The 20,631-nt window shown below is 39.2% G+C and overlaps 1 protein-coding gene across 2 annotated transcripts in view, besides 1 other annotated feature; it reads right to left on the minus strand.

The window, feature by feature from the left end:
• ZNF519 (zinc finger protein 519) overlaps positions 1 to 20,631 on the minus strand; it is a 61,315-nt gene that overhangs the window by 14,930 nt on the left and 25,754 nt on the right. Inside the window, exon 3 of one of the 2 annotated variants that reach the window (NM_145287.4) lies at positions 13,888 to 20,359. The exons of the other annotated variant lie outside the window; for it this stretch is intronic. Coding sequence (NP_660330.2) covers positions 18,867 to 20,359 — 1,493 coding nt within the window. The 3' untranslated portion in view covers positions 13,888 to 18,866. Of the gene's footprint in view, positions 1 to 13,887; positions 20,360 to 20,631 lie in introns of those variants that run through there. 2 annotated transcript variants of the gene reach the window in all.
• Positions 15,545 to 15,712: a silencer, noted in NCBI's record as "fragment chr18:14101594-14101761 (GRCh37/hg19 assembly coordinates)". NCBI's record gives its function as "represses an EF-1alpha promoter that drives an FKBP-Casp9 reporter gene in an ReSE screen in HepG2 liver carcinoma cells {active_cell/tissue: HepG2}" and the evidence as "EXISTENCE:reporter gene assay evidence [ECO:0000049][PMID:32094911]".

The following is a 20,631-nucleotide window of genomic DNA, read 5'->3' on the forward strand; positions in this document are numbered from 1 at the left end:
GCCCTCACCATCCCTCTCTAAACCCTGGGCAGCACAGTGCAAAGAGTGACTCCACCCACTGGAGGGAAGGAAAGGAAAGAAACTAAGCACAGGGCTTTGCCTGGCAATGCAGTGCTGGCATACCATCGTGAAACCCAACACTGGGGAAGACTCAGTGGCCCCTGACCCAGGCTGGTCCCTGTGGACAGAGCCACTGGACTTGTCACAGTGCCAGGTGGAGACCAGCAGCCCTGGTGGCACAGTCTCATGTCCCAGCCCACATCACCACTGACTCTCTGCAGCAGCCTAGAGCCATGAATAAATCTCAGGGGCCGGAAAGCTGTAGCCGTGGAACTTGAGGATCCCCCTGCGCTGCGCTGGCCTCAGTGGCTTTGGGCATGATGTAGCATCATAGCAGCTGTGGTGGCCACAGGACTCCCTGTCTCATCCATGCCCCACTACAAGCAGCACAGCATGGAGACTGCTTCAGGGAAGCAAAGGAAAGCAGGCACATGTGGCCTTGCAGCCCAGTGCTGAGCTCACTACAGAGATCCAGCCCTGGGCACAGCCCTGCAGTGCTTGACCCCAACCTGGGGACCGTAAACAGAACCCCTGGAGCTGTTCCGGCCCCAGGCAGAAACGTGCAAACCCAGTGGGATGAAATACACTCTGTAAGCCCCGCTCTAGTCCTTCCAGGCCAGAACGACAAAGCAACTTTGGATATGTGGCAAATCCAGGCTTAGAGCGCCCTCTAATGCTAAAAAAGCAGCAGTGACCACAGTTGAAAAATGTAATGAACCAAATAAAAAATACCAGCAGAATCAATCAATCAAACAGAAAAAAGAATCAATGAGCTCAAAGACAGGCTTTTTGAAAAGATATCAAATCAGACAAGGACATAACAACAACAACAAAATTACAGGACTATTTCCCTGAAGAATATAGATGCAAAAATCCTCACAAAATACTAGCCAACTAAATCCCATTGCACATCGTGAAGATTATTCACCAAGATCAAGTAGAATTCATCCCAGAAATATAAAGATGGTTCAACATATGCAAATCAATAAAGGTGATACATCAGATTAATGGAACGAAGGACAAAAACCATACGCTCATCTCATTAGATAAAAACTGTCAACAGATTGGGTATAGAAGAAATATACCTCAATATAATAAAGGCCATATATAACAGAACCATCATACTGAATGGGAAAAGCTGGATGTTTTCTCTCTAAGATCTGACACAAGATAAGGATGCTTATGTTTACCATTTTTATTCAATGTAGTACTGAAAGTCCTAGCCAGACCAATCAGGTAAGAAAAAGAAATAAAAGGCACAGCTGCATAGCTACTTTTGTGTTAATATATTATTTTTATTAGAAAATATATTTTGGTGAATGTGAAAATTTTATAAAAGTGAGCTCCTATCAGTGTACACTCTAAAAACCATGCTTCATTCCATCTTACCTGAACTGTAACCCACTGTTTATGGGACTTGGGTGACAAAATCCCAAGTCTTCAATATCAGCCAGATAACACAGGCAGAACTTCCTCAAATAAAACTCTTAGGAGCTACTGATGTTGCCATGATTAAAGGAGAAGAAAGGGATGGGTCATTTGTTTTCTCATTTGCAACATGATCATAAAAAATGTGTGCGTCCTTGTGTTGGATGTTTAAATCGTATCATTTATGTACATCACTTACTGATGTGCTTACATTTGAAAACATAAAAAGAGCATAGCTTGGTTTGTCATTATCATATAGGTCAACAATACCATCATTGTCATCACCATCATTATATTTTGTACATTAAAGTAAAAATGGACAAAAAGGATCTGGGAGGTGAGATTGACCATGCATTGTGTGAACAGATTATGGATGTGAGTACACTGGACAACATGCCCCACCTTGTAGCAAAATTCTGTCTGGAAAACAAGGAATGGAACTATGTAGAGAGAGCTGGCACACTCAGAGAAAGCAAGATCATCACCAATTAGATGTCAGTGCTATTTACAGAGATATTGAAACCTATGGACTCCAGGAGGATAGAGAAACTTCAGGAACATTTGGGTAATGGGTGGCTGCTATTACTTAACACCTATGTGACAATTATCCCGTTTTAGCAAATGGAAAGTACAGCTTAGGATGCTTGTTTGCCTCTAGCATGTTTATAGTATCAAGACATTTGAATCTTTTTTCAGGAAAATCAGAAGAGAAAGTCTTGTTCCAAAGTAAAGAATTAGAAAAACTCGGAGTAGCTTCATCACATATAAAAAGCTGCCTTGACTGCGAAACCCAAGCAGTCCTGCACCATAGTCAGTTCCCCTGATCAATAACAAAACAAGGGGAAAGTCTGGTTTTCTTGCTGAAGAGATTTCACTTTACCATCATATTCTTTGTAGCTTAGCAACAAGAAAATGTGATTTGTTCATATTTTATTGTTCATGGCTAAGTGCATATGATACAGGTTGAGAAAAAAATTAAAACCCAAGCACAGAGATCAGGACCACATAAGGTTCAAAATTCCTTAAATTTCATTCTAGTTAAAAATGAGTTCTGGCATATCCATCCCTTATCAAAGAAAAGATAAAAGTTGTCTTAAATGAATAATATATGGAGTAAAAATTAAAGGAGACAAATATACTTATAACTGCTTAATTCTGAGAAATGATAATCTTATATCCAAGGAATTGAAACGGTGAAATCACCATAATTACTTTAATTTCTTTATTTTAAATGTGATTGCAGCCTTGTCACTGTCTCCTTATTTGAAATTTCTTAACTGCTACAGCACATACTTAAGTATTGACATCATTAATTTGAAATTTGCAAAACTAAAACTGGGACAAGGAGGACTTTGGAAAATAGTTTGATTTTTTTAGGAATATTAGATACATTCTATATGTAAGATATGTTTTTGGAATTTTTTTTTAAACTCATGTCTGACTGAAAAAAACATTTATTTTTTAAAAATTACCTACATTCCTAGAACTCACTTTTCAAATAAAAGTTTTAATTTTTACGAACATGAAAGAAGCAAAACTTACAGAATTAAAACTTATTCCATCTGTGATGAATATAAGTATGAAAATGAATTAATAAAGTTTTGGTCTAAAATGACTAGGTAATATATGTAGCTTAAGAACTATATAGCAAGTAAATGAAAGTCATTTTATTCAGAGAATTTGATGGGAACCTAATATTTTTTGAGTATTTCCTATAAGATAAATGAAACTAGACTAACTTGTATGAGTCACCAAATTAAAGGATAAATATGCGAAGAAAACAAATTCTTTATTGCATTATAATGAAAAGAATCTTATGAACTGTAGGACTCTTTGATCTGGATGTTTAGTCTGAGGCTAATGAAAGAACTCATTCATCTGATTTTTTCCATGGCCTGTCTAGGATTTCCGGACACACACTGAGTCTAGAACTGTGGGCTAAATGGGCATTTCTTGAGTAAAAGAGGTAGACATCAAACTGTACACTGTGATTTATTTAACTTTTATGGAGTTGAAAAAATAATGTATGTTAACAGAAATCAAAACAGGGGCTGCATATGGTGGGGTGAGTGGATATTGGTTAACAAGTTACAAGGAGGTATTTTCTGCATCAATAGACATGATCCATATATTGATAAGGCTGTTGTATACTACAGGGAATATGAAGTTTAAAACTCTGTAACGTGCACATTTTACTATATTTTAATTTTATATTTATACAAAATTTTTTAAAGGAAAAAAATAATCATTAAACAGTAATGGAGATAGGCCTATTTTATTTGTAAATCTTCTCTGACGGTAAAACTGACCAATTCAGGCTGCCAGTTGATGGCTGGGTTTCAGGTGGAATGTTGGGATGTTCTTTGGTGTTTGTTGTTCCAGTAGGATCCACGGTTACCGGGCAGAGCCGTGATGGCTGCGGTGCAATGGAGGGACTGCAATCCTCTGTAGAGCTGAGGCCTGGGCTGACCCCTTGGGAAGCTGGACGAGGTGACTGTGGAGATGCTCGGTCCACGACTCACCTTCCATAGCCTCCAGGGGTAGACACCGGTGTGTCCACCGCTCACTGGCTCATGGGTTGGTCCCTTATTTTTATTGAGACCTGTTCAATCTGTTAGAAACTGACTTTACATAAGGCATGAAAAGCAGCCTGCGGAATCACTAGCTACACAGATTGAGGATAAATACCAACTCACTGACAAACGGCACTTGTGTTCAGAGTGTTCAGAGACGGAGTCATTTTTAGAAATGCCAGGCTAGAGAGTGTTTCAGTATAGCCACCCTTGCCGAGGCTTACAGAAGGGCAAAGACCACCATCTCAAGATTGATGGAAGAATCAGTTTTCTTGGTTCAAGAAATGAAGACGGAGAAATACAAATGTTCTAAACAAGAAGAGGTGACAGACGAGAGGCTAAAAATGCTAGAGTTCCTAGAAGAGCTCATAGGAATCACCCCATCACAAGCAATCTTTCCAAACCTCCCAGGAGGCCAAGAGCCAAGCAAGCCCTGCTGGTCCCTTCCCCAGGAGTGGGCCTGGGTCTTAAAGAGTGCTGCCCCTCCCCTCCACTCAGGCCTCCCAAGCTGCCAGGTGCATTCACTCACTTCGACTCCATCTGAGGGTCCAGGGGAGCCCCTTCCTGGGCTGGAGTTCCTCCCCCATCACATGCTGGACACAGCAGTCGGCTCCTTCATGGGCAATTTCTCCAAATTTAAAGAAGACTGGAGATCCCGGAACACAGCAAGAAATGTGAAAGTTTCTCAGAAAGTTTGATTCGCTCTCATTGGCAGTGAAAGAAATGCTATACTTGAGACACTAATCTCTTCCTCAAATTGAAACATCATCAAAGTACATTTCTCAAGATAAAGCTCTGCAAATGTTAACTATATAAGTAAATAATTTACATTTTATTCTCCAATTATTGTATTATACTTTGAAAATATATGCAGTTTGTTAATAAAGACTTTTAGTACTCAATAGCAATATTTTTTCTAGAGTTATATTTCTAACAGTTATAAGTTAAAGCATTATTTTTTGGACTTAGTATGTATTCATTGAAAAATAAAAACAAAATGCTTAATATATTTATTTGGGGATAAAGTGGGAAGGCATGTTTGAACTTTATATTATTTAATTGCTATATTCTAATAATGGATAAATTTTTTTTATAAAAAATTGTTAAATTACACGGAGATGGTTTTCTTCTACTTGTAGTGCACTGTAGGAAAAGACTTTTTAAAGAAATCCTCTTGGATTGGGGAATTCCACATCACTGCCCCCCATTTCCTGTCAAAATCACCAGAACACTTCTCAGTGGAAAGCTGAGAAAAGTTGTAAGGGAATTTTCTCTCACAAAATTAAGCCAGGGTTTCCACAATGAGTATCTTTAGTCACCAAGGATACACCATTATTATGCGGTGAAGACAAACTGGGTCTTATGGTGGAAGAGAAGCAGCAAGTGACTTTTGAGTACAAAGAGTGGGGGTACAGGAGTAACATGAGATCAGTGACAGAGACAGCATCATCAGAAGTGCTCAGGTTGAAGACAGAGCAATGAAGACTCGAAAGTCCTTGTCCTCTTGATGACATTTTAGGAAGAAAAGGCAGATACCAAACAATATTATTAAATAAAGGCATAAATGGACACAGAGCATCAGAAGGTGGTTAAGTTTTACGGAGAAGAATGAAGAGGGGAGGGGAGGCAGTGACACATGGGAGGATGGGGGCAATATTGGTAGAAGAGGTCAGTAAAAAATATTGAGGATCACACACCTGAGCAGTGAGGACACCTGGGGTAAAGCTTTGCAGGTGAGGGGACAGAAACGACAATAGCCCAGAAGTGGGTATGAATGTGGTGGGTGTGAGAACCAGCCTGAGGTCAGAGTGGCTTGAATTCAGTGAACGATGGCCAGAGGAAGTTTAGTGAAGGCCACCAAGGGTCAGATGATGGAGGGAGCTCTCACCATGATAAGAATTTCATTTCAATTTAAAAGGTCAGGAGCTGCTGTGTGTGGAAACTGGTAAAGCAGAGAGACCAGCTGGGAGGCCGTACCAGTGAATCGAAGTTGAGGAAGGTGATGGATTGACCTAGGGGGCAGTGGAGGTAACGATGGAGAGATGGGGTGAAGTCCAGGACCTGTGCTGGAGGCAGAGACCCTGAGACTTGCTGATGTCTATGGGTGCAAAGAAGAGGGGAGTCAGGACCAGGATAAGGGGTCAGGCCTCCATGGGCATCTGTGTGAAGGGGGTGTCCTTCATTGGAACACGAAGAGATGGCAGAGAAGTGCATGTGGATGGGAAATTGGAATGAGCTTGTTTGGGAGAAGACTTTAGACAGAGACCCTGATAATGAAGTCAAAATATCAAGTAATCAGGGGGATATAAGTGTAGGACTTAGAGGAGCAATCACAGCTGTAGTTATAAATGTGACAGGTCATTGGGGAGTGAAGTTACCACAACAGAGATGACGTGCAAGGCCTGAGAAGATTCCATGGGGCAAATTCAATGGTCTTGTTGGTGGCCAGAGCCTTCCTTAGGCTTCCTAGTCTCAACAATATCACAGAAAGCCTCGACAGTGACCTACCCAAGTCTCTCTCCATGAACTGGGACTTCAGTTGCGCAGAATCCCCATAAATCAGCCTCCAGTATTTACATGTATGTATGTGTGTCCACACACCATGCATATATATGTACATCCTGAGGAAGATTCTCTCCTCGACCGAGTTCTAGCCAGGCTCCCCTAAGCCCTCTTGTCAACTAGGCCTCAATCTTAGCCTATAAAATTTACAGACTCAGCAGAAATAATTGTGTCCACCTCTCTTCCTACATTTAAAGATTTAAACAAACACTTACATGGTTTCTATCAGCACAGGGCTGCATCCCTAGGATAAAAGTGCCTGCCTGAGAAAACTCAAGACTGCCAAACAATTCACTGTTTTGGAAACACCTGACAATAAGCCCATCTTCCTTTCTTAGAGATTACCAGAAAGAGCTACACAATGGTGAATCCTTCCTCTATCACTTTGAGATGTATATTTCCTATACATCAGGAGTGTCTTTCTCAAGAACGTGACAGGCATTCCTTTGAAATGTAATCATCAGGAACTACAGAGCCTCTATTTCCCAGTCTGTGCGAAAGGGCAGAGTCCATCCACATGGCCAGCTAGAGACACCGCTGCTTAATCTCACTTACACTGACCAACCCTTTGAAAGTTTCTACTTTCCTGAGTCTACTGAGATCCCACTCATCCCCCTCCATCCTGCCGCTTTCTCCTTTAAAACATCCAGTCATCTCTGTTCAAATTAAAGTTGAGTTTAGTTCATGAGGGACTCTCTTTCCTACCAGAATAGTATATTGTTGATTAAAATCTGCCCTTACTACTTAACCAGTGCCTTTATCTTTGACAGTTAATACATGTACATATATGTATACTCATATGCATCTACATACACCTATAACAATACATATATACACACATATTTAGAAATATGTACATATTCTTAATGGCTACTATTAAAAGAAAAACTTTAAACAAATTAAGAGTTTAATTGAGCAAAGAACAATTCACACATCTGGCTCCACCAGAACCAGAGTATGTTCAGAGTGGCTCCAGGGCTTCCAGGTGGCTGAATAACATTCATGGACAGAGAAACGAAAGTGGCATACAGAAAATTAAAGTGAGGAACAGAAACAGCTGAATTGGTTACAGCTTGACATCTGCCTTATCTGAACATGGCTTTAACAATTGTCTGACTGTGACTGGCCAAAATGTGGCTGCAGTGATTGGCTGAGACTTGGCTACCTGTTACAGGAGTAGGTTACAATCTGTTTACACATCCAATTAGGTTATGATTCACTATGTATGAAAAAACCATCAGTCTGAACTTAAAATATGTTAACGAGATAGCTTTCAGCTAACAATTCTTTGTCTCTCCTACTTATTTTAAAGATATTACTAGACATTTCCTTGAAGTTTTCCTATGATCTCTGCATTTATTTTCTTTTCCTTTGGTTTCTTGCTTTAATGCGTGTGTTTCTTCTCCATCTTTCATGCTACAGGAAGTCCTCAAATATCAAGTGGTCTTTGGCCCCCATACATATTTATGTGGCAGAAAGGAAACAGCTAAGTGGAGCTCTGTATGCCTGGGGCCTGTCCTTCTCAACACTTTTCTTCAGAGATGTTGAGTGTTGAACTAGTAACAGGCAAACAATAGTGTTGCCCACACTAACCTCTAAAAACATTATGTCTCTTTCTAAATGCTCTGTCTAGGACTTCTAGTATTATATTGCATAAAAGTGGTAAACATCGGTATCCCTGCCTTGTTCCAGATCTTTTATAAAACCGGCTTTTTCCTTTTCAGTATAACATTAGCATTGAGTGCTACATACGGCCTTTATTATGTTAAGGTGTTTTTCTTCTACACCTAATTTGTTGAGTTTTTAATCATAAAGAAATGTTGAATTTTACAGATTGCTTTTTCTACATCTATTGAGATGATCATAAAGTTTGTGTCCTTCATTCTGCTGATGTGATGTATTATGTTTATCAACTTGCATATGTAAAGCATCCTTGCATTGCTGGCATAAATTCTATTTGAGCATGGTCGATAATCTTGTTAATGTGCCATTGGATTTGGTTTTCTAGTATTTTGTGAGAATTTTTTAAAATTTATGCTCGCAGAGATTGGCCTATAGTTTTTTTGTTTCTGTGCCCTTATCTTGTTTTGCTATATTTTCAAATAGCCTGTCTTTGAGCTCACTGATTTTTTTTTGTTTGATTGATTCTGTTGTTGATGCCCCCAGATGCATTTTTATTTTGTTCATGTTGTTTCCTGGCTCCAGTATTATTTACATCTTAAAACATTATTTCAATCTTTCAACTTACTCTGATAAATTTCTGAATTAGTGATCTGTGTTTTTTGAAGTTCACTGAGTTTCCTTAAAATAGCTATTTTGAATTATGTCCGTAAGATTATACAACTTCGTCACTTTAGGGTCAGTCCCTGGTGCCTTGTCCATTTGGTGAGGTCATTGTTCCCTGAATGTTCTTGATGTTAGGGGCACGTGACAATCTCGTGTATTGGAGAATTCCATTTTTTGTTGTGTGTCCATAGTTGTTATGTTCTTTTGGCCCAGAGGAACTAGAGCAAAACCTAAAGGGGTCCATTTGGTTCTGCAAGTTTTTGCCTGGAGACAGGGAAACTCCAGAGGTTTTATGTATGGTCATTAGCTTCGGGAGAGTCACTGTGTGACTCTGCCTCGTGCTGGGCTTCACTGTGGCAGGCCTAGCACTGGGTTGCAGGGCCATGTGTTGTGCCTACTTTTCTTTCCTTATCCCAAAGAGACCTCTTTATCCACTCAGTGCTCCTTAGTTGAGGAATGGTGTTTGTGGCCGCTGCAGTCATTGTAACACTGGGTTAACCCAAAGCCCACAGCTGCAAAGACCAAGGCAGCACAGAGACATCCTTAGACAACATGCTGCTATGGCTTGCCTGCCAATGAGGTTTATTATTGGCTCTAGGCTGCAGCAGTGCAGCAGTGATACAAATAAGGACAAGAGACTGTGTCACCAGAGCTGCGGGTCTCCACATGGCACTGCAGCAGTTCCAGCAGCTCTATCTGTGGGCATTGGCCTGGGGTCACGAACCATCAGGTTCTGGCCAATGTTGGGTTTCACCATGTCAAGCTAGTACTGAGCTGTAAGACAAAGTCCTGCATTTACTTCTCTCTCCCTCCCTGCCAGTGGATAGAGTCACTCTGCACTGTGCTGCCCAGGACTGGGGGAGAAAAGGTAGGAGCAGTCTCTTGGTTGCCAAGGCTGATGCTCATCTGGGTCACATCCAAATCCCATGCTGCCAGGACCAACACAGCCCTGGGTGCTCTTGTGGCCCAGGCTGACATGGCCTGTCTGCCAGTGGGGTTCACTCGTGGCCTAAGGCCACTGTGGAAGGCTAGCAGTGGTGTGAGCTGGAACACAAGACCATGGTTTGGGGCTGAAGGTTTCTGCCTTGCACTGGGGTGAGTCCAGAGGTGTCACCTACAGGACCTGGCCTGAGGTCAGGGGCCATGGGTTTCTGCCTGGTACTGGGTTTTGCCATGATGGGCCCAGCACTGGGCTCTAAGTCAAAGTCCTTTATGTACTTCCCACTTCTTTCCCCCGAGTGGGCTGCATCTCTCTCTATGCTGCACTGTGGAAAGCTGGGAGATGGGTGACACAGGCAATGTGACTCTGCCCTTCCTACCCACTTCACTGTCTCTATTATTGTGTCAAAACCAGGTATTATAATTTCTCACCTGAATTCCTTGGCTCTTGTGAAAGTTATTTGTAGATAGTTGTTCAATTTGATGTTTCTGCAGGAAGATGAACACTGAAGGGTTCTATTTCACCATTTGCTTCATTCCCTCGTGTATAAAGATTACTTTCAAAGACACTCTTCTGACCTTCCCAGGACTGATTCTCATATGTCCCACTTTTTAAATTTTTATTTTATTTTTTAGAGACACGGTCTTGCTCTGTCACCTAGGCTGGAGTAGAGTGGCATGGTCATACCTCACTGCAGCCTCAAACACCTGGGCTTGAGCAATCCTCCCATCTCAGTCTCCCGAGTAGCTAGGATCACAGGTGTGTGCAACCACACCCATCTATTCATGTCTCCAACCTTTAAGAGCTTTCAATATTAAATATTTGGGCTCAAGTGAAGTTAAGTTTTGGAGAGTAAATCTCTCTTGTGCAAAACAGAAAACAACAGTGGTGTTCCTATAGATGAAAGAGGGAGAGGACAGCATTGCCCACTGCTCCCAGGTATCAAGGGCTGAGTTCCCTTCCTGTGAGTTCAGCTCACCCTATTCCGACTTGCTGGGAAGTGGACACAGATGAAGGATCCAGGTTGTTGGCCATTTGGAAGTGAAGGGGTGCTGATATCTCAACGCTTCATTTCATTTTTCTCCAACTCTTTCTCTGCTTATATACGAGTTGAGTGATGTTGCTCTGCTGTGTAAACCATCAGTTTCCAACCACCTTCTCCATCAAACCTTATGCACTCAAGTTTATACATAGTGTGTGCTCCTGGAGTCTCCAAATCAAATGAAGTAGTTCCTTTTGGCTACAAATTAGATTGGATGAGAGGTGAGCAGTAAAAACAGTGATGATGAAATTAACAATTTCCTCAATTTATGGCTTCATCATTCTTATTACAATGAAGAAAAAGTTTCTAGTGATTTGTTGGAAAAACTGCTTCACTAAAATACTAGTATTTTTCTTTTCAGGAGAAACTACAGCCCTATATAAGCACAATGGTTGCAGGATGGAGTTTCAGAGGGTGACACAGATGGTCTCAGGTGGAGGTGGCCCCACTAAATGGAGTGTAGTATGTGTAAAGCAGCCTGTGCCCACATCATCACCTGGAAATGGCCATCCCATATCAGTATGACCTCAAGTCCTCATGGAGGTGCAAGTCCAAGTGGTCAAATAACCTGGCGTTGAAGGTGGCCTCCAGCTTGAAAGCAAAGATGTGCTGAGATATCCTCTATAAATCACATTAGGGAGCCCTTGTGGAATAAGGCAGTTGATGCATTTGGTTTAGAATGGTAAAATCAAGGGGCTTGGATGTACAGATTCCAGTTCCCCTGAATGGGGACATGACCACATGAAGGACTGGCAAGTAAGAAGTTTGTAAATAATGTGGCTCTCAGTGTTGGAAACATTTGTCAGTATTTTGTCCTTTTGAGTTTATGCAAGATCAGTAGGATGCTTTTGTCCCAATACTGCTCATGTTTTTCATGATGAAAATGTTTGTGTGTATATGTATGTTTATATTAATACTCTAACAAATGCCATGTGTGAAGTAAAAAAACACAGTAACTCACAAGTAGAAAGTGCGAGGTGAGTAACAAACACAATGAGTTTGTGGTCAACATCCTATGGCTGATGACCTCATATCCAGACTCAAGAGTCACATTTCAGAGGCCCCAGAGCTCTCATCATTGATAACCTCAATTTATTTCCAATGATAGACCCTCATACACAGAGCAACAGACCTGACCCCTATGGTCTCCACACTGTCCTCTACATTGTCCCTTTCACTGTCCCTGTTGAAAATCAGTCGCCTATACAACTTTCACTGTCTTTTTTTTTTTTTTTTGAGATGGGAGTCTCACTCTGCTGCCCATGCTGGAGTGCTGTGGCACAATCTTGGCTCACTGCAACCTCTTCCTCCCAGGTTCAGGTAATTCTCCTGCCTCAGCTTACTGAGTAGCTGGATTACAGGCACCCACCACAACGCCTGGCAAATTTTTGTATTTTTAGTAGAGACGGGGTTTCACCATGTAGGCCAGTCTGGTCTCGAACTCCTGGCCTCAAGAGATTCACCTGCCTTGGCCTCCCAAAGTGCTGGGATTATAGGCATGAGCCACCACGCCTGGCCAACTTTCACCTTCCATTTTTTAGTATTCCCATCATTAACTGCACTGATGGCTGCCTCCTGTCAGGGTGTCTCCAGCTTTGTTAATCTCTCAGGATAGCAGTGGATATTCAGGGAGGCTCCGACTTGTTACAATAGCCAGGGAGCATCCACACCACATGAATGCTGATGTGGCATTTCCCAAAGTATTCTCTGAGAACTAGTTTCTCAAGATGCTCAAGGGAAAAGCCACCCAGTCTGGAACACTGCCAAGATTTTCCTGGTTCACAAGGTTCACAACAGACATTTGCAACGTCTGAACTTATTTAACCTCGGGACCTATTTATCCGATGACATTTGTTAATATCTTGAGTCCCTCGTGTTCTATAGAGCATCTTCTGGAAAGCACTGAGTATGTGCATCTGAAATCTTTATTAGGGTCTATGTTTCAGGGAATCCAGTAAAGTGAGTGAAATGTGCCTTCTGCCTCTATTGGTCTCCAACAGCATGAAATTTATAGTCTCCACCCTAACTTCCCAGGTGAAAGGAATGTTTTTGTGACACAGAATCTGGAGCTAACTCCTAAAATTAACATCTGTTCTCAGTGTCAGGTCTCTGGAGGTCTGTTCCATCCTCTTCCTTACCCAGCCAACTTCCACCATCTCCCCATTTCATTAATCACTTCCTTCAGGAAGCCTCACCTCCCCTCTACTTCCCACCAACCTAGCCTCCCTGCTACTTCCCACCAACCTAGCCTCCCCCGACCTGCCTGGAGTAACAGCCCCTCCTCAATACTTATCTCTACCAACATTCAAAAAATAAATGTAAAAAATACTTCTTCCTTATTTGCTTGGTGATGGGCACATAAAAGTAATGAAGAAATACTTGTGATTTAATCTCCAACTAGTATATTTGCTCTGTGAGGAAAGCATTATAACTCATCTTTTAGCTCTAGTAGCATGCAAGTACATAGTAGCTGCCCAATAAAAGCATTTCTTACACCAATACTTATTATGTATATTATACATACAGCCAGCTCCTAACATCTCCTCAGAAATCAAAATATTAACATTCAAATTAATTTGTATATTAATAGAAAGTGACTGGTTTATAAATAAGTGCTCTTCCTGTCTAATAAGTGAATATTAAATATACAAGAGATGTTCATCCTAAAGACATTACTTCACATTTGCTGTCTAGGCCATGATATTTTAACACAAAAGGAGATGGTTATTTGCCAATCACCATCTTCCGGTTTAAATCTGCATTAGGCTCCTCCTCCAGCTATAACAACAAGGGAGCCACCTTGTGTGCAAAAAGGTCTACAAGTCTCCATCCCTCAGGCTAAATTAAATAGGGTTCCACACACCCTTACAATGTCCAGCAACTCTGGAAAGATTCAGTTTTCTCTGACATTTTGAAGTAGAACTGTTATTATTCTAATTATAAAAAAAGTTGAATAAATAAGGCAAGCAATAGATGGAAGAAAATCCTTGCAAATGTTTTTCTTTGTGGAAAAAAAACTTATTTATTGCCTATGTGAGCTAGTAACCAGAATATAAACAGAACTCTCAAAACTTGCAAGAAAACAAATACAATTAGAAAACATGCAGACATGAATAAACATTTCATCAGAGATAATAGGCAGATGTCATATGAGAACATTAAATAAAGTTCAACATTATTATCCTTTAGAAAAATGTACATTAAAACAATGTGATATCAATACATATCAGTCAGTATGGCTAAGAGGATTTGAAAAAACAGAAATTCATTGATGATGGGAATGTAAAATGATAGTCACTCTGGATAACAGAGTGCTAGTTTCTATTAAAATTAAACTTGTAACTACCCTATGAGCCAGGAATTGTATGCTGGAAATATTTTCCAGAGTAATGAAAACATGTATTCATATGAAACCTAGTACATGAATGTACATAGCACTTTTATTCATAATAGCCACACACTGACTGAAAACAACAAATATGTTCTTGAAAGAGTGAAGGGTTACACACAGTATTTCATGGTAACATCCACACATGAAAACCCACAGCAATAACAAAAGGAACAAACTAAAACATAAACCAATTTAGATGAATCTCCAAGGAATTATGCTGAAGGAAAAGGGCCAATTACAAAAGGTTGCACAGGTTATGATTTCATTTATATAACATTATTGGAATGACAAATTTGCAGAAATAGAAATTAATGGTTTCAAAGAATCAGAATCAGAGTGGGTATGGTGGGGAGAAGGGAAGCGGATGTGGTTATAAGAGGAAAACGAGTTAATCTTCTGGTAGGTGAACCTACACATGTAATAAAATTGCACAGAACACACACACATAAGAAAAAATTAATCTGGTAAAATGCAAATAGATGAGTAGGTTAATTCTATTACTGTCAATATCTTAGTTTTGATATTTTTATAATCTTATATCTTACTATAGTTTTCTAGAGTTTTAAATAGTTTTATAATATGAATAACCAATCTATTCCCTCAGCAGTGCTTTCTACAAGGCCAAGTCTGAAGTACTTTCCATAGCTTATCTCATTTAGTTCTTGAAACAATCATATCATGTTAGGCTTCTTAGAACCCCAGTTCCAAAGAAGCAAACTGAAGCCCACAAATGTGAAGGGACTTTCCCAAGACACAGATAATAGGTGGCTGAGTCCCCCTTGTGCTGTGGAGGGATGGAGCACTTACCTTTTGGGCAGCAGGTCCAGGAGCTGTTGGGTGGGGGTGAACTCTCTCTAGGTGCACAGGAAGGAACATGAGGAGGTAAAAGAGGTGGCAGCTCTGGAAGGTGGGCACCACGGGCTCCTCCTGCTGCCCCACCACGCCTGCACTGATGGAGTCCACCTGCAGGTCTCATCCAGATTTAGGGCTGATTTATTTCCGCACTCAGAGGGATAAAGGGGGGCCAATTAAAACAATGAGCCCTAGCAAATGCAAAAACACTCATGGTCATAACATGAAGTGAAAGTAAAATATAAATAATTTTCCTAGATATTCTTACAAATATGTGAAAGCCGATTGTACACCTGAACAGTGCTGGGGTGAAATGGTGGGGCTGAAGGAAGGAAACAGACTCAGGGTCCCTTGGATTAAAACTGTGGGTCACTCAATAGGGAAAGCCAAGGCACAAAGTCCTGTGAGTCATCAAGGTGGAGTCCTGGCAGAAGGCCTTCTCAGCCATGTCTGGGCCCTGGTTATAGAGACCATCTCTACACCCACACCCCAATCGAGGCAGGAATGGCCATGACAGCATGGTACACCTGCCCCTCACCCAGGGAGATGAAGTGTCCATCAGTTCTTTGATGATGTTCTGTGTGGAGCTCTGCAAAGACAAACCAGCAGTTAATCTTGCACGCAACAGAGCCCTGCTTGGCTGACCTGGCCTCTTCTGTCGAGTCTTTCCATTCCCCAAATCAGGCACAGACCAGAGTCTACATAAACCTCCTGCCCTCTACTTTTTCTCCTAAATGCATGAAAGGCAGAGCTTTTCAACATGAATAATTTTAAGACATATAATATTCTCTAATATTCAGGAATAAAGAGGTTTCCTACTGATTATGTTTTTTGAGAATTTTATGCCCTGGTAGACCACAAATGAACAATCTTTGTCAACACCATTTTGTTAATTTGTGTTTTCAAACTATTTTAATTCCATCCTATCATTCATTCATTCATTTATTTATTTATTTAGAGATGGAGTCTCACATGTTGCCCAGGCTGAATTTACTTATTTAGAGATGGAGTCTCACTCTGCTGCCCAGGCTGCAGTGCAGTGACATGATCTTGGCTCACTGCAACCTCCACCTCTCAGGTTTAAGTGATTTTCCTGTCTCAGCCTCCCAAGTAGCTGGGATTACAGGAGCCCACCACCACACCCAGCTAATTTTTTGTATTTTTGGTAGAGAGAGGGTTTTACTAAGTTGGCTAGGCTAGTCTCGAACTCCTGACCTCAGGTGATCCACCCACCTGGGCCTCCCGAAGTGCTGGGATTACAGGCATTAGCCACTACGCCTGCCCCTGTCTTTCACTTTAAAGAGGCACAGATGCTGGAAACTACTACCCTTACTGAATGCAGAAAAAGCAAACATATAAATTTCAACATTTACAAGTCACATTTATGAATATATCTCTTATTTAGAGAATTACAATTTTAAACTATCAAAGGAAATGGTAAGGATACAAAATGTAGAGTACTTTTTAAAATAATAATAATTTATTCTCTATATGTTGTAAATTATTTTCTCATTACAAAACAACCTCACCTAAACTAATATACAACCAATTTTGTTAAGTTTAGCTTTTTTAATAAAACAATAAAACTAAATTAAGACAATATTTTAAAAATTCAATCCAAATTGGGGGAAAAAAGCTATATAGTGGTAATATTTTATATCTCATTGGAATTAATATAAATATAAAGCAGATTCTGATAAGGTATATAAGGGCTAGAGAAAACAAGGAAGTAACTTCAAAAACATGAACAATTATATAAATTAAAAGATTATATGGAAAGTAATAAGAAAGCAGTAAAGGAAGAATAAAGAAAAATACGTGAGACATAAAAATAGAAAGCAAAATGATGCAAATTCAACTATACTGATAATATTACAGGCTATAAATAGATTAAATAATCAAATCCATTATTTGGAGTTTATCAGAAGTATAGAAACTTCTATACTCCAATGTAAATAATGGGCAGAAAAAGTGGGAAGATCAACAGGAAAACATAACACTTGAACACTGTAAACAAATATGAACTGATAGAATTCTCAAATTTATAGAATTTTCCACTCAAAATTAGAAGTACACATAAATCATTCTCCAGGATAGACCATATGCTAGGCCATACAGCAGGAAAACGTCAATAAAATTAACAGGATCAAAATAATCCAAAGTATTTTCCCTGACTTTAGTAAAAGGAAATTAAAAATAAATGAATGCAGAAAATGGGGGGAACTCACAAATATATGGAAATTAAAAATACTCCTAATTAATGTGTTAAAGAAAAAATGAAACTGGAAAATATTTTCAGATAAATGAAAATGAAGTTATGACATATCGAAACATGAGATGCAGCAAACTGTTCAGAGAAATTCATAGCAGTAAACACCTACATTAAAAACAAACAATTTTAAATTAATAACCTAATGTTTGGTAAAAATAGCTAAGGGCTAATTAACTACTCAACACACCTTGGGGAACTTGTTAGAGTAACAAGTAATAACTTATGGAATCAACATTCTCCAAACTATTTGGAGTTTAATACCACTAAGGGTAAAAAAATGCTAAAGACAGCATGAACTAGACATACCCGATAGTATATCATTACCATTTACTACCTGGAATCTTGAGCAAGGTGGAATAAGTTAACATTTTTGTCAGGATAAGACATTATTCAATAAGCAACAGTGTTAACAAATTAAAAGACATTTCATTTTATTCTTAAAAAAAAATTAAGTTTACAGACTGAATAAAGCATTTCAAAATCCAGTTTCCTCAATCATCAAAATTACAGACTGCAAACATTCAAAAAGCATTCTTATTCTGATACCATGACCTATGTTAAAAAAATGTGTTCTCTCTTTTCTTAAACTGAGCCTAAGTATTTAGAGGATTGAATTAATAATCTATGTTCTACCAGAGAGAAGTTATTTGCACCACTCTCTGATATTTGTGATTTCTTTATTGTTATCACAGTAACATTCAGGACTTCTAACTTGCTGCTATGAAGATACATTAGAATATTAATGGACTAGCAAGACCTTTTAATGGGTAGTTGGTAAAACTATTCATATCTAAAACTCAGAGTGTTTCTGTCTCACACTTTAATGCAGAACAATAATATTCTGAACACCTAACTCATATATGACTTATATTCAGTGTTGTAAGTCAAACAAAAAGAGCAACTCCATTTAGATTTCATCATACATCCTATATGCCAATGCTCTTAGTCTTCCATGGGAAACTTGTGAATGACGTCATGAGACATGTGAATGATGACATGTGAATGAGACATGTGAATGATGCCTACCTAACGTAGAAGGGACTCTCATGTCAGAGACAGCAATAATCAACCACAGTGGGGAAAAAAAAGGTTAATTTGAATTTAATTACATCAATAATACTTTCTCAATCATGAATACTGTGATTACAAAAATAAGTGAACATTGAATATAATTATGCCTCTCCATCAATGTCGTCCCTCTTTTTAAACATACAATTTAATTATCTAATTGAGTTTGAATTATTTGTTATAATAAACACACTGATTCAGAGTAATTTACGGAAGTGCTAGCACCTTAGTTCTTTCTAAAGTGACACTTCTAATTTTTATTTAATCTTCATTTTGATGTTTCAAAAATCATTACACATATGGGATTTCTATCCAGTATTGATTTTCTAATGTTGAGTAAGGTGTGAGCACCAGTTTAGGGTTTTAGCACATTCTTTACACTTGCAGGGTTTCTACCTGGTATGAATTATTTGATGTTGAGTAAGGGTTGAGCGTCTGTTAAAAGCTTTGCCACATTCTTTACATTTGAAAGGTTTCTCTCCAGTATGAATTCTCTGATGTTGAGTAAGGTGTGAGCTCCTGGTAAAAGCTTTGCCACATTCTTTACATTTGAAGAATTTCTCTCCAGTATGGACTCTCTGATGTTGAGTAAGGTGTGAGCCCCAGATAAAAGCTTTGCCACATTCTTCACATTTGAAAGACTTCTCTCCAGTATGGATTCTTTGATGTCGAGTAAGGTGTGAGCCCCTGTTAAAGGCTTTGCCACATTCTTTACATTTGAAGTGTTTCTCTCCAGTATGGATTCTCTGATGTTGAGTAAGGTGTGAAGCTCTGTTAAAAGCTTTGCCACATTCCTTACACTTGAAAGGTTTCTCTCCAGTATGCATTCTCTGATGCTGAGTAACGTATGAGCTTCTATTAAAGGCTTTGCCACATTCCTTACATCTGAAAGGTTTCTCTCCGGTATGGATTCTCTGGTGTTGAGTAAGGTATGACCCCCTGTTAAAGGCTTTGCCACATTCTTCACATTTGAAAGCTCTCTCTCCAGTATGGATTCTCTGATGTTGAGTAAGGTATGAGCCTCTGTTAAAAGCTTTGCCACATTCCTTACACTTGAAAGGCTTCTCTCCAGTATGGATTCTCTGATGTTGAGCAAGGTGTGAACTCTTGTTAAAGGCTTTGTCACATTTTTTACATTTGTAAGGTTTCTCTCCAGTATGAATTTTCTGATGTCCAAGATGTAAGCCCCTGGTAAAAGCTTTGCCACGTTCTTTATATTTCACTGATTTTTCTCCAGTGTTAATTATCTTATGTCCCTTTAGATGTGATTGACTAAAGACTATTATACATTTTTTATTACATCTTTGTGAGCTCTCTCCAATATAAATTCTTTGATGTTGAGTAAGCTTTGAGAATGGGTCAGAAGTTTCACCACATTCATTAGAGTTGTAAGGCTTTTTTTGAATATGGATATTTTCAGGGAAAATAAGCTTTGAGGATTGGTAAAATACTTTTTCACATTCATTACAATTGTAATAGTTTTCTAGAAAATGAGTACTATGATGTTTACTAATATTTGAGTCATGGTTAAAATTTATCTGATTTTTATTACAAAAGACAGATTTCAAAAATTTATGTTGATATTTATTCATAGGAATACATGGTTCTGTAGGAGCAGCTGACAGAAACTGAGGCTTCTTCTGAAATATTCTATATTCTTTGTCTCCTTTCACAGTTAAATGTTTGTTATGACTAGTTGTCAAATATTGGCTACATAGATTATAACATTCCTTTTGTCCTTCACCTTCACCTATACTTTCCCAGTTTTTCCATAAGCATATATTTTCAAGGCCACAGCTCCCATATCTTCCCAGTGTTGCTTTTTTGAATGAATCTTGTATGCCTTGCTCTGGTAAAATGCCTTGGTTGTAATAAGAATACACAGCTGAAAGAAGTAAAAATAACTAATTATTCTACATACTGATTTCAGTTGAATATACTTTACAAATCTAATATGAAATTTTGCCAAGCTGAGAACATCAGCACAATGCCATAGTAGAAAACCAAGAAAGGACAGAGCAAGATGGCTAAATAGAAGGCTCCAGTGATCATTTCCCCTGCAAGGTCACCAATTTTACAATGATCTATTAAAAAAGAAAAAGAAAAAGAAAACCTTCATAAGAATAAAGGTGAGCACTCACAGTACCTGGTTTTAAC

This window comes from Homo sapiens, chromosome 18 (genome assembly GCF_000001405.40).
Source record: "Homo sapiens chromosome 18, GRCh38.p14 Primary Assembly".
In the NCBI taxonomy this organism is placed as follows: Eukaryota; Metazoa; Chordata; class Mammalia; order Primates; family Hominidae; genus Homo; species Homo sapiens.